A 12,746-nucleotide genomic window follows, 5' to 3' on the forward strand; every position below is an offset into this window, starting at 1 on the left:
GAAAATACTTTATTTTGGGAAAAGTTCATCTTTTTTGAAAAACTATGTGAGGAGAGAAGAGTGGACATTTTTTTCCTACAGGAAGATAAGAAAGTCAAAGCTTGCAAATAGGTCTTTCCCAACTGAGTTTAAAGGGGAGAAATCTCTTTCTCCTTTCTGTGCACATGAATTATATTAGAATGTTATGCTAAGGATATTTGGCTTTCCCACATATTCACAAATCCTATTCTGATCCCAACTTGACTTTACAAAGTATCATTGGCATACTTTCAAATCAATCTCTGATTTATTCCAGAAGGAAAGGAGATGGAATAATTCCATAAAGAGGGTCTTTTTATTGGTAATAAAATTGGTGAACTTCATATGGTAGAATTATCTCACAGTATTTTTATACTGGAGGAAGATTTAACAATGGAAACTAGTATACCCTCGACACATTTCATTGTGTAAAGCATATCTATTTAACTGCTTTAATGCAGGCTTGCAGATTTCAGTTCACTGGCAAACCAAGAACCTTATAAAAAAGAATTGAGGCGCTAAAGATACATGATCCTTCAATCATCATAGAGAGTTGCACCATTCTTATTTTATCACATCATCAAAAATGATAATTGTGGTTCAATTAAGGTTGTGTAATATGAATCAGATTACAGAATAGACTTCAAACAATGTGTGGATTTCAGGACTAAACTTTTCAAGGATTAACAAATGAACTTCAATGGTTTCCTTAATAACTCTGAGTAAATTTATGCTAGAGTGTTGAATCTGAAAGATTTGAGAAAGCAGTTTTTATTGCTGACATTTCTGCTAGGTTACCTTCACCATCTAACTGAAATCTGCCCAGATGGTATCCTCTCTTGAGTGTTGAGGTGCTACATAAAAGACAATCCTGACAATAGTAATTAGATCTTTTTTATTGATAAGAAGCTTTTAATCTGTATGTTTCCTTGGAGCCAGCTTTTTTTTTGTATCCCCTTTTAGTGTAAAGAGCATTTTCTTTCTAGGTTTCCACTAGGATAAATAGTCCTAAACGTGATTTTTAAAATGCTCTGTGGTTGTTTCAAAGTCAATTGAAGGATGCAGGTCAATTTTCTTCAGGTTTATTTTTCTTTTCCTCATTTGAAGTGTATGCTGAGTCCACTTGCCAAGATTTACTGTGGGGTCAACCCAATAAAATTTGCCAGGACTGAACTGGACTGTAGGATCCAATTCAAGAGAGGAAATTAGAATCAAGAGAGTATTGATAATTTAATAAAAAATGATAATTGAGAAGATTTCAATGAATGGAATCAATATTTCTCTAAGAATATTTGATATTATTTAATTTCCTACTGTTATTATACCAGAGGAGTTTATTCTCATTGCATTTAAATAATGAACAGATTAATTTATGTGTTGGGAAGATAATACAGTGATTATTTTTCATAATAAGAGGGCATTTTTCTTCTAACAGGCTATTTTTATTATCCATTTCAATCATGGGAAATTTACTAATTATATATATATTATATAACATTTGATGAACACAGGATAGATATTGATAACCTGTTTATATGTTTGAAACTATAATAATAAAATTATAATTTTATCCTTTGTGAATTCACTTATCACTTAAGAATTAGAATATTTTCAATACATAAAAATGCTTACATGCTTCTGTATGTATCTCTCTTCCATGCAACCTCAGCAGCAATCATGATTCTAAGTTTTGAATTTATATTTCCTAGATTTTTGTATAGTTTTACCATGTAGATATGGCTCTCTAAACATGAAAGTTTTGACTTTTAAATTTACAAAAATGGTAATATATGTTTTCTACCATTTTTATTCAACATTAAACTTTAAGATTAATTTATGTTGTTAAAATAGTCTCACCACTGTGTCTTTTGAGCTTTATATACATTACTTCACTTAACTCTCAGAAGATCATCACAAAGTACATATTTTTATTGTCATATTAAAAGGTAAGAAATCAAAGTTAAGAAATTTGAGGGAAAGGCCTCAAGGTCACATGTCTGGAAGATGACAGACCTATCTCATCTTAGTAGCTGCACCTCTTTGACTCTTAACCATACATTATTTAATAGCATCATTCATACTTCTGTATAGCAAACGAGCTCAAGGATAAATTGCTTTTAAGGTTGTTATATCCACATAAAACACATGAGGAAAGTGGAGGCATTTCCTACGGTTGCCTGTTGTGGATGGCAGAATGATGGCCTTATCAAGATATCTATATCCTCATCCCTGGAACCTGGGAAGACGTTGTTATATGAAAAGAGAGAATTAGGGTTGCAGATAATTAAGATAATGCCCTGATTTTAAGGTTAGCTTTAAATGTAGAAGAGGGAGGCAGAAGAGTAAATGAATATACTTACTTGAGTAAATAAATTTCTAATGTGGTTTTAAAAATTCTGACTGCTAGTATATTGCATTCTCCACACACTGTATTTTTTGAAACTTTAAAGTTTTTAATTAGTAATTTTTATGGATGCAATACATTAACATAGTTCAAAATTCAAAAGATGTAAAAGAACAACAGTAAAACACATATTATTTAAAATACCTGATTTACAATTATACACTTTCTTTCCTTAAGTGCAACCTGTGTTATCATTTTCTGTGACTACTTTCTACATAAAGATTTGTTATAAAACCAAATGTGCATCTAAACTCATGCACACACCCTCCTTTTTTGCATAGTTGATAGCAATTATGCACATTGTTGGACAGTTTTTTAACATCACAATGTATCTTAGAAATCATTACATGAGAAGCTTTCTTGTATTTTTTAACCAACTACATACATTTGTATTACATTGATACACCAGGATTTATTTAACCATTTTCCAATTGATAGACATTTAGACTGTTTCCAGGTTTCGCTATGTCTCACACCCTAATAATGTAAACAAAGGTCTGTTTTACCTAGGCTTTGCCAACCCATTGTGTACTCACTTTTTCATCTTTATCAATATGAAAATAGAAAAAAAGTCATCTTAGTGTAATCTTTATATTTTATTATGAGTGAAATGAATATTTCTCATCCTTTAAGGTTTCTTTGCATGTCCTCCCCTGAGAAATCTCATTGTAGCTTATGCTCATTCTTCTATCATTATGAATTTTTCTCATTGTTGTATAGTAGCTCTTTATATATTATGAAAAATGGCTCTTTCTCTGTAAAATGAGTAGAAATATGTTTTCCAACCTGGCATGTATGCTTTTTTTTTTGTAGGACTTTTAAATTGTTTTATAGCTGAAATTTAAAATATTTTTTGGTAAATCTAAAACATGGTTTTATTTTTCTATGCAAATATTTGATGTCTGAAGTTAATCCTAATGTAAAGAGTGAAGTTTATTCTTATCATTATTTTTTTAAAGGTGACAACAATGTTTTACCACTTATTTCAAATGCCACTTCTAGCCAATCCAAACTATGAATGTATTTTTGCCTCACATTTCATTCTATGTGTTTCTTCTTGTTCACCTAATACCATCAAGTGCTCATTATTGGGTCTTCCAGTGGAGCCCAGACAATATTCTGGTTGCTAAAAAGAAGGTCAATGAGGTCAGTGGTAACCCAGAGGTTATCACATATATGGGGTCTTTTATAGATAACAAAAAGGAAGTCTTGCTTCTTCCATTTTTTATTTTTTGGAGAGGCTATTAATACAAGGGAATCTGGGATAAGGAAATAGAAGGTGATGGAAGAGATGGCATGGGGTATGCTTTTCCATCTGGCTTAGACAGATAGTTTTAATATCCAATGGAAAGAGGGATAGAGCAAAGGATATATAAATTCTGTCTTCATAAAGACTCTGAATCTAGAGGCATGAATACTTCTTCCCTGAAGTTCATATGGTAGATTGCAAAACAGAGTCAGCAGCACAGCCATTCTACTCCAAATCTTCACCCAAGTCCTAGTACATCATGGAATAATGCACCATCGTTGACTGATCAGAGTGTACTTGTCAGTCTTTCCTCCACAGCATATACAAGTAGTCAGAACTAGCTCTAAGCGTGATGATAAAGTTCTCTGTTTAGAAGGCTAAAATTAAATAAGAGAAGATTTTCTTTCTGAGAATTTGTTTTTTTTTTTTCCCCCTCCATTGCTGCGACCCCTTCCCTGAGTGTCTAAAAAATGATACCGACATGATGGGGTGGAATTGGAGAAGGCTCTGAGCTACAGGTAAGCTCATATCCTAGTGAGCATTTCCAAGCTACATGCATAAGTTAAGAATTCATGTTGCTAGTATCATCAGCATTTAAAGACTTTTTAGGATTGGAAAATTAGATCTAAAATATACCATGACATTTTAAGAGAGAAATATTATTATAATACACAAAAATATATCTTTATTAAAACACTATATTTCTTCAACAAATCAATGGCATAAAAAGGGGAGGAAAAGTCTTAGTTGAAAGAGACTTAAAAGATTATAATAACTAAAAGTAATCAATAAATTTCATTGAAATCCTACTTTGAATTCTAAAAGGGAGTTGCTTGAGATAATATGTGATACTTTAATATAAACTGGATACATGATTATTTTAAACATTTCTTGTTATTGGTGGTGGTGGTGTAAATACATGTATGTGTGATGTAAGTACAGTGCTTTGGTAATAAGATGCCCACTTTGAAAACATATGTTAAATGAAATACATAAAGTGAAATTATTTAAGTTCTGAGATTTATCTTACATTTTTAGTACAGACACTTTAAGAATGAGTAGAAGAAGAGAAATATTGATAATTGTTGAACCTTTAACAAGGGTATTAGGGATTTAATTATACTCTTTTATCTACTTTTGTAGGTTTGAAATTTTTCTTCATAAAAATCTGCCCCCAAATTTATGACTTTAAAAATCTTTCTGATTCAAAAATACTCTTTATGCCTTAAGTCTACAGATTATCCCTTCCAAGTGGTAGATATGATAATATCATTGAACTTTCCTGGGTAAGAAAAACTTTAGGCATAGAGAGGTTTAGGAATGTGCCCAATGCAACAGAACAAGGCCGTCTCGGGAGAATCTCTGGCTTGAACACGTCTCCTCCGGCTGCCCAGCTACCCTCACATTAGGCTGTAACGTTCAAAGGCTTTGCCTGAAGTTTGTTCCAAAAAACACAGGACTATGTTTAAATGATGCCTTTCAAATTGATCTGAAATAATAAAAAAGTTTAAGTTTAAACTATCATTTTATTTCAAGAATAAAGCAAGTTTTCTTTTATTGCTATAGATAACATGGCAAGAGAAGTTAAATCCAGATAGAAACTTTCAAGAACTTAGTGACAAAAGTTAGAATCTCTTGTGCTTGCTATAACCGCCATTTTAGATGTATTTTATTTTCATTTTCTTTGAAGAAGCAGGAAATGAATTGAACAAAGATTTATGCCTTTTAATGTCACAGTTGATTACCAACTGAAATTGGAGGAATGCAATTTTTATGACTTTATGTAAAAGTGAGCTATATTTCAGAATGAAATGGAGATTGGCTAGACAGACAGATTTAATTTTTAAGAATGTATGTTATCTTACAGGAAATATTTATATAAATTAAGAAAGTTTAAATCTCTAAATTATTAGTTTTAAATAATTCACCTGACCTGGTACTAGTCACATGCATGTCTGAAATATAATTTTATGAACCAAACTCTTCTGGAAATATGTTTTAAATTTATATATCTTTATATACCAAATTACTAAAACTCATAAAATGCTGAAATCTTGATTAATTTTCTGAAGCACATAGGCATTACCTAGCATTTGTTTTTCAAATTCTCTGTCTGACATGGTACATATTAAATGTTTAGTAAACCCCTAAAAATTATACCCATTCATTAATATTGGATGTATATAGGTATATTGCTTTCTCTTTCACAGAAACGTTGCCTTCCTAAGATAATTATTTTCATGTTAAATAGTAAGAGCCTGGTTTTGAGGGTTACAACCAGGTTAAAAAAAATCATTAAACAAGGATAAATATAGTCTCTGTCTTTTTCTTCCCTATCACATCCAAACCATATGGAAATTTTATAAATTTATTTACCCACTTATTTAATAAATATTTTGAAGGTGCTTCTTAGGTACTACACACAGTGCTAAATGTTACAGATAAATCTGTTTTACAAAATCACCAGTCCTCATTGATTACTAGAAAAGACAGTTACTGATTTGTGTCACATGCCTTAAACACAGTAAGCAATTCTATTTCTCTATATATTTGGACATGTTGATCCTTCTGCTTTAAATATCCTTTCATATGTGGAACACCTAACAAATTTCTCCTTATTCCCTCAGGCCAAGTTATATGGTAATTAGATGGCTAGTTTTCTTTTTTCTAAAGCTGTCTGTGAATTACACTAATTCAGTAATGCCGTTATCTATATTTAGAAATCACAACTTCTAGCAAGTGCATGTCACCTCTCTGAGAAGATTTAAAAATATTGATGTTATTTGAATTTGCATAGTATATATATGTATGTATACACACATATATGTACATATACACACATAATCCAACTGCCCTCATTTACAATAATACACAGATAATTTTAATATTGTTATACTATTCATATGCTATTAAATCAGCATGTGTTTATTTACTTGAAAAATGAAGAAACTAAAAATAAAATGGTCAGCTTCACATAATGCAGATAAACCTGTAGAGACTTGTCCATATGGAAACTTCTCTCATGTAACAGAATAACTTATGCCAAAATAGGCATAAGAATTGCAGAGCTGGTGTGAATACTTCAATGATTTGATCAGTTTCCAAAAGTGGTTTTATCTGGCTTTTTCAGTATCCTTACTCTATTGCTTGTTACCTTACACTATAAGGATGGCTGCTATATCTATAGGTAGCACGTATAATTATCATGCAGAAAGAAAGTGAACGACAAAAGACGAGGACCACCTAAGTCTGATATATTTTCTTAGGATATCAACAGCTTTTTCAAAGCGCCACCTGGACTAAAGCTTATATACATTATTGGCCAGATATAGATCTGTTATACGAATTTAACTGCATGGGAATTTAGAATGTTAAATAATTCTTACTTGGTGCATTATAATTCTGGAAAATGTCCAAGTTCAATTAGAAAAAATATATACAGAGAATGGACATTAGTAGCTACCTTGGAGTATCTATCACATGTGGTCCTGCCAAATATTAGGTTGGTGCAATATTAGGTTGGTGCAAATATTAGGTTGGTGCTGTTTTTTTTTTTCCATTAAAAGTAATGGCAAGAATCACAATTACTTTTGCACCAATCTAATAAATACTTTAACTTTAATTTTTCTTTGTATATAAATTTCACAGTAGTTTCAGCACATGCATGCACATTCTTAATATATGTGGTTCCCAATGTATTTGATCTGTGTATTGAGATGGTCCCTAAAATAGCTTTAGCTTGCTTGGTAAAATAAATTCAGTAATTTGACAGAAATAAAGATTCAATAGCATTTATTGAATTAAATAGTTCAGTAACTAAGAAATTATTGATATTCAAAAATTCGCAAATATGATAGATCACTGAAAGCAGAAATTCTTCAACTTCACTGCTGATGTTCCAAACAAAAGTTGCATCCGTAGACCAAAACATAAACTACATAAATGTAAAATCCTAGGGAAAATATACATTTATCTAGCATGGGCCCTGTTTTCTCAGGTGGAGAATTAAAAACCAGGGAAATAAAATCCCTTGCCCAAGTGAAACTCTTAATAACAGATCAAAGAGAAGAATCATTGTGGAGTCTAGCTAAATTATATATATTTACAAATGCATACACACATATAATATATGTATACACGTATACATAATGATGTTATCATTTTCTTATGCACAATGCTTCACATATCGATACAGGCATGGTATTCAAACACATCATTTGAATTATTTAATGTGACATTCTTTTACATGCTTCAGGTTTTTAAAGTAAGAGTTTTTTTATGTAGGCAAAATAGAATCAGGAACATCAGTATATTAAGATCACAATAATATCAACAAAATAAAATCAGCAATATTCAGAAACTCAGAAAATTTTATTTTGTATGAGTGCAAAGTCATAGAAAGGAGTCTTTTAAAAATATTATATTTATAGGAACTTAAGAGAATCCAATGGCTATTGTCCCTTTTTAATTCTTTGGGGGAAATTATTGCTGTAATTTCATTGTCATGAGAAGAATAACACAGACAAGATATCTGCTCTCTTTTCTTGAAATTTTTTTAGTAACTATAATGCTCAAGAGAGTTTTTTTTTCTGTGCTGGTAAATGTATCTTAAAAGAAATGCAATTTAACACTTAAATGTTATGTATAGGTTTGCAATTTAAGATGGAAGACTTAGAATAAGCATTTAAATACCATTATTTCCCAACTGCACACCCAATGGCCCATCGAAATAATAGAAACAGGGAAACAACAGCAAAGAGAAGAAAGGGGTCTTTATAAGTGGATGAGAGATTATAAAATAAATTCTGTAGCTGGACACTGGTAGAATGCTAATGGATGAGGCAGATAAGAAGATGCCAGTATGTCACAAATGCCTGGTCAAACCCAGGAAAGGCTGTAGGCTTCTCTTTGGCAGTTTGTTGCAGGGCTAAGATGAGGAGAGGTGCTGAAAACAGGGGGGTTAGTTGAAGTTTAATAGAGAAACAGCTGTATCTTTTGGTACACTACACAAGTGAAAAATACCATACTGTCTAGTGTTTATAGCCCCAGGATAAAAAAATGGTAGATGTCTTCACTGAAGAACTGAGCAAACCTGTGGGGAGTTTTCTTTGTTATTATTGCAGCATTTGAGGAAACAGCAATAAACAGCACAATTAAACTCACTGTAAATGGAAGAAAACTTCCCCTCTCACATGTCACGTTAACAATAGGCAAGCTTGATAGTAAATAGACATGTATTACATGTTCAGCAGAGGAGACTCAAAACAGCAACTAAGTAAAAATGAAAGACAAGAAAATGAACAAAAACTCATTCACGGAAAAATGAAAGATAATTCAGGGAACAGAAAATAATTTAAAAACAAAACTTTGTTTTTAAACAAAAACCTTATCAGAACTTTATCAAAAGATATTACCATTGGCTTACAGGAACAATATAATGATTTTTTAAAAAATGGAAACAAAGAATATTCTTAAAGGTTAAAAATATGGTTGCTGAATTGAAAAAGTTTATACAAGGGCTTGAATACAAGAGTAACGTTCTTAGAAAAAAAGATAAGGATATAAAGATACAGTAAACCTCAGAGGAAAAAGAAAATTAGAAACTTATAAACAATCAATACAGATGAGCCAATATTCCAGTAATAAGTTTCAGTATGAGAGAAAAGATAAACTGTATAGGAGAAAGTTAACTGTATAGGAGACCAATAAAAAAACTCCAGTGCTGAAAATAAACATGGGTCTTCAAGTTGAAAATATCCACCCAATGTACAGGAAGGCAAATTTTTAAACGGTCACCTAGACATTGCTAGTAAAATTTCCAAGCACCAAAGGAAGATAAAATTAAAGTTGAAGACTCTCCATTTGGAGAAGGTGCTATAAACTTGTTTTTCCTACTCATCCCAGGTAGGGCTGTCCAGAGTAGCACTGGACAGCAGAACGACCACTCTACAGAGCAGGCCCGTCCCATAGGCAGAGTGGCCCAGAGTAGCAGTGGACAGCAGAATGACGGCTCACAGAGCAGGGCTGTCCCGTAGGGAGAGTGGCTCACAGTATCAGTGGAAAGCAAAATGGCTGCTCCGTAGCCCAGCAGCCCACAGCAGCAGCAGCAGCAGCAGCAGCAGCAGTGTACGGCAATAGCAGCAGTTCAGAGCAGCAGCCCCAGTGGATTACTGGCTAACTATATTATACCCACTCTTTATTATATCCTAACAAAGGGGCATGTTATTCAGAATATTCTAGAAAAAAGGATGTGGGAGTCCTCAGAACCATATACGGTAATTTCTGCCTAGTTGCCATGTCATTTGCAAACTGTCATGGCGCTGGTAGGAGTGTATGCTAACGAGCATTGCGGGCAACTAGAGGTTGCTTTCTTTGACATCTGCTGGTTTCAGCAGGTATCTTTAGTACGACCTGTTTTGATCAGTAACGTCCTGATCAGAAAACAAGTCCTGTTGATGTACCTCAATACTAAGAACGAAGAAAATCACATTTTGAATGGAAAAGAGAACTGACACCTATGCTGAGATAAAACAGATGTTGAAATTATTTGATAAGGAAATTTAGAGCATCAGGAAAAAAAAGGAACAACATGAAGGGCAGAAATAAGGGTGTATACCACTGCTATTCTTTTCCTCAGATTTATAAATTACGTCTGATTGAAACAAAAATTCTGCCACTTTTTGATATTCAAGACAATAATTTTTGTTTGTTTGTTTGTTTTTAGACAGAGTCTCGTTCTGTTGCCCAAGCTGGAGTGCAGTGGCTCAATCTCAGCTCACTGCAACCTCTGCCTCCCAGGTTCAATTGATTCTCCTGCTTCAGCCTTCCAAGTATTTGGGACTACAGGCACACACCACCATGCTCAGCTAATTTTTTTTTTTTTTTTTAATTTTTAGTAGACACAGGATTTCACCATGTTGGCCAGGCTGGTCTCATGCTCCTGACCTCAGGTGATCTGCCCGCCTCAACCTCCCAAAGTGCTGGGATTACAGGCATGAGCCACCGCACCCAGCCAATACAGTGATATTTAAAAGTGGGGAAGATAACAGAACTTAAATGGGAAGGAGATGTCCACATTTTACCTATATGGGTAAAATGTTAATATCAATACACTCTTATAAGCCATATATTTATACCTTTAAAGAGCAACCATTTTGAAAATTATACAGATACAGCAGGTCCTTGAATGACATAGTTTTGTTCAATGTTATTTTATTGTAATGTAGATGAGAAAAAGAACTATATTCTAACTGGAGCCACTATCTGCATGGATTTTCCCCATGTACTCCTTTTTCCTTTCACATCCCAAAGCTGTGCACATTAGGTTAATTGGCATGTCTACATTGTGCTACCTGAGGATGTGTGTGAGTGAGTCCTTCAAGGGAAGAATGTACTCTCCAGGGTTGGTTACCACCTTTCAGCCTGAACTTATGGGATAGACTCTGGCCAACTGTGACTCACACCTGAAATAAGTGAATTGGAATTACTTAATTAATTAATACAAATTATTGCAAAACAAAAATTCATGAAGTGTACCATAATCATTCAAATGCACAATGATAAACAGTGGGGTAAAAAAGTGCACTGCCAGATAAGTTATTGTTTGATTTTAAACTGTGTGGTGGTAGGACATGCTTTCTGCAATTTTCACTTTGCAAGTATTTATTCCTTGATTTAATCCACCATCAGTATGATCCCAGTCACTCACTGATGAGCCAAAAAATGGGCAAATAATTATGTTTTCATTAAAATTTTTGAAATATGTATAGCTCACATGTATTTCAATGTTTAATATTAAAAGTGCTTTGGTCTTTATTTAGATGTTTGATGATGGTGACATCACCACATATATGCCATAGAAACTTCACTTGTTTAACTCAATTAACCTATAGCAAAATTGGTTTTGTTAAAATTGGTTTGTTACACTTGAAGTAATGATTTTCAAGAACCTACTAATGATGCTAAATGAAGACTTACTATACACTCAAAAATACTATCAATAAATCAATATGTAATTCTAGAAAAAGTAAGTAACCTGTGAGAAGGTAAGAAAACACAGAGGACTGCAAACCAAAGGAAATATGGAAAACAAATAGTCAAATGGCCGACTAAATACTAACCCATCGATAACTGCCATACATATAAATAAACTGAATGCAACAGTCAAAAGACAGAGGATTGACAGAGTACAAAATGTAGAACCCAGATTTATGCTGCTTACAAGAAATTCACTTAATTTTAGTGAGATTTATGCTGCTTACAAGAACTCACTAGATATAGATATACTGAAAATAAAAAAAAAAGAAGACATTCCATGCCAACATTAATTTAAAAAAGGAAGTGGATATATTAATTTCTTATATAGTAGACTTTAGAGTGGGTATAAGGAGAGATATTATGTAACAATAAAAGGATTAATTCACAAGGAAGAAAACAATCCTAAAAGTGTACACACTAGAGTCTCAGATACATACAGCAAAATCTGAAAGAACTAAAATGATGAGCTGGGGACTTCAGCATACTCTTGTCAACAACTGACAGAACTATTACACACAAAATCAGCAAGGAGATAGAGAAGCAGAACAAGAAATCAACCAACAGGATCTAATTGACATATATAACACACTCCACCCGACTGCAGAATATACATTTTTTTTTCACATGTCCATGGAACATTCATCAAGACAGACGATATCCTAGGCTAAAAACCAAATCTCTAGACAATTAAAATTACAAAAGTGTATTTTCTTAAGAGAAGGGCAACAGGCACTCTTCCAAATACTAAAACTAAACAACACATTTCTAAATAATTTCTGCAGCAAAGAAGTCTTAAAGAAAATTTTTAAAAATGTAAAAGACCCACTGAAAACAAAGACACACCACATCAAAATTTGTGGTATGCAACTAACACAGTACTGAGAGGAAAATATATAGGACTAAGTATTAGCATTAAAAAAGAAAAATCTCAAATCAATCTCAGTTACCACTTCAACAGGCTACAGAGAGAGAGAAAGAGACTCAAATCAAGCAGAAGAAAAGAAGTAATGAAGAGCACAAATCAGTAAAATGGAAAAC

This window comes from Homo sapiens, chromosome 12 (genome assembly GCF_000001405.40).
Source record: "Homo sapiens chromosome 12, GRCh38.p14 Primary Assembly".
NCBI classification, from domain to species: Eukaryota; Metazoa; Chordata; class Mammalia; order Primates; family Hominidae; genus Homo; species Homo sapiens.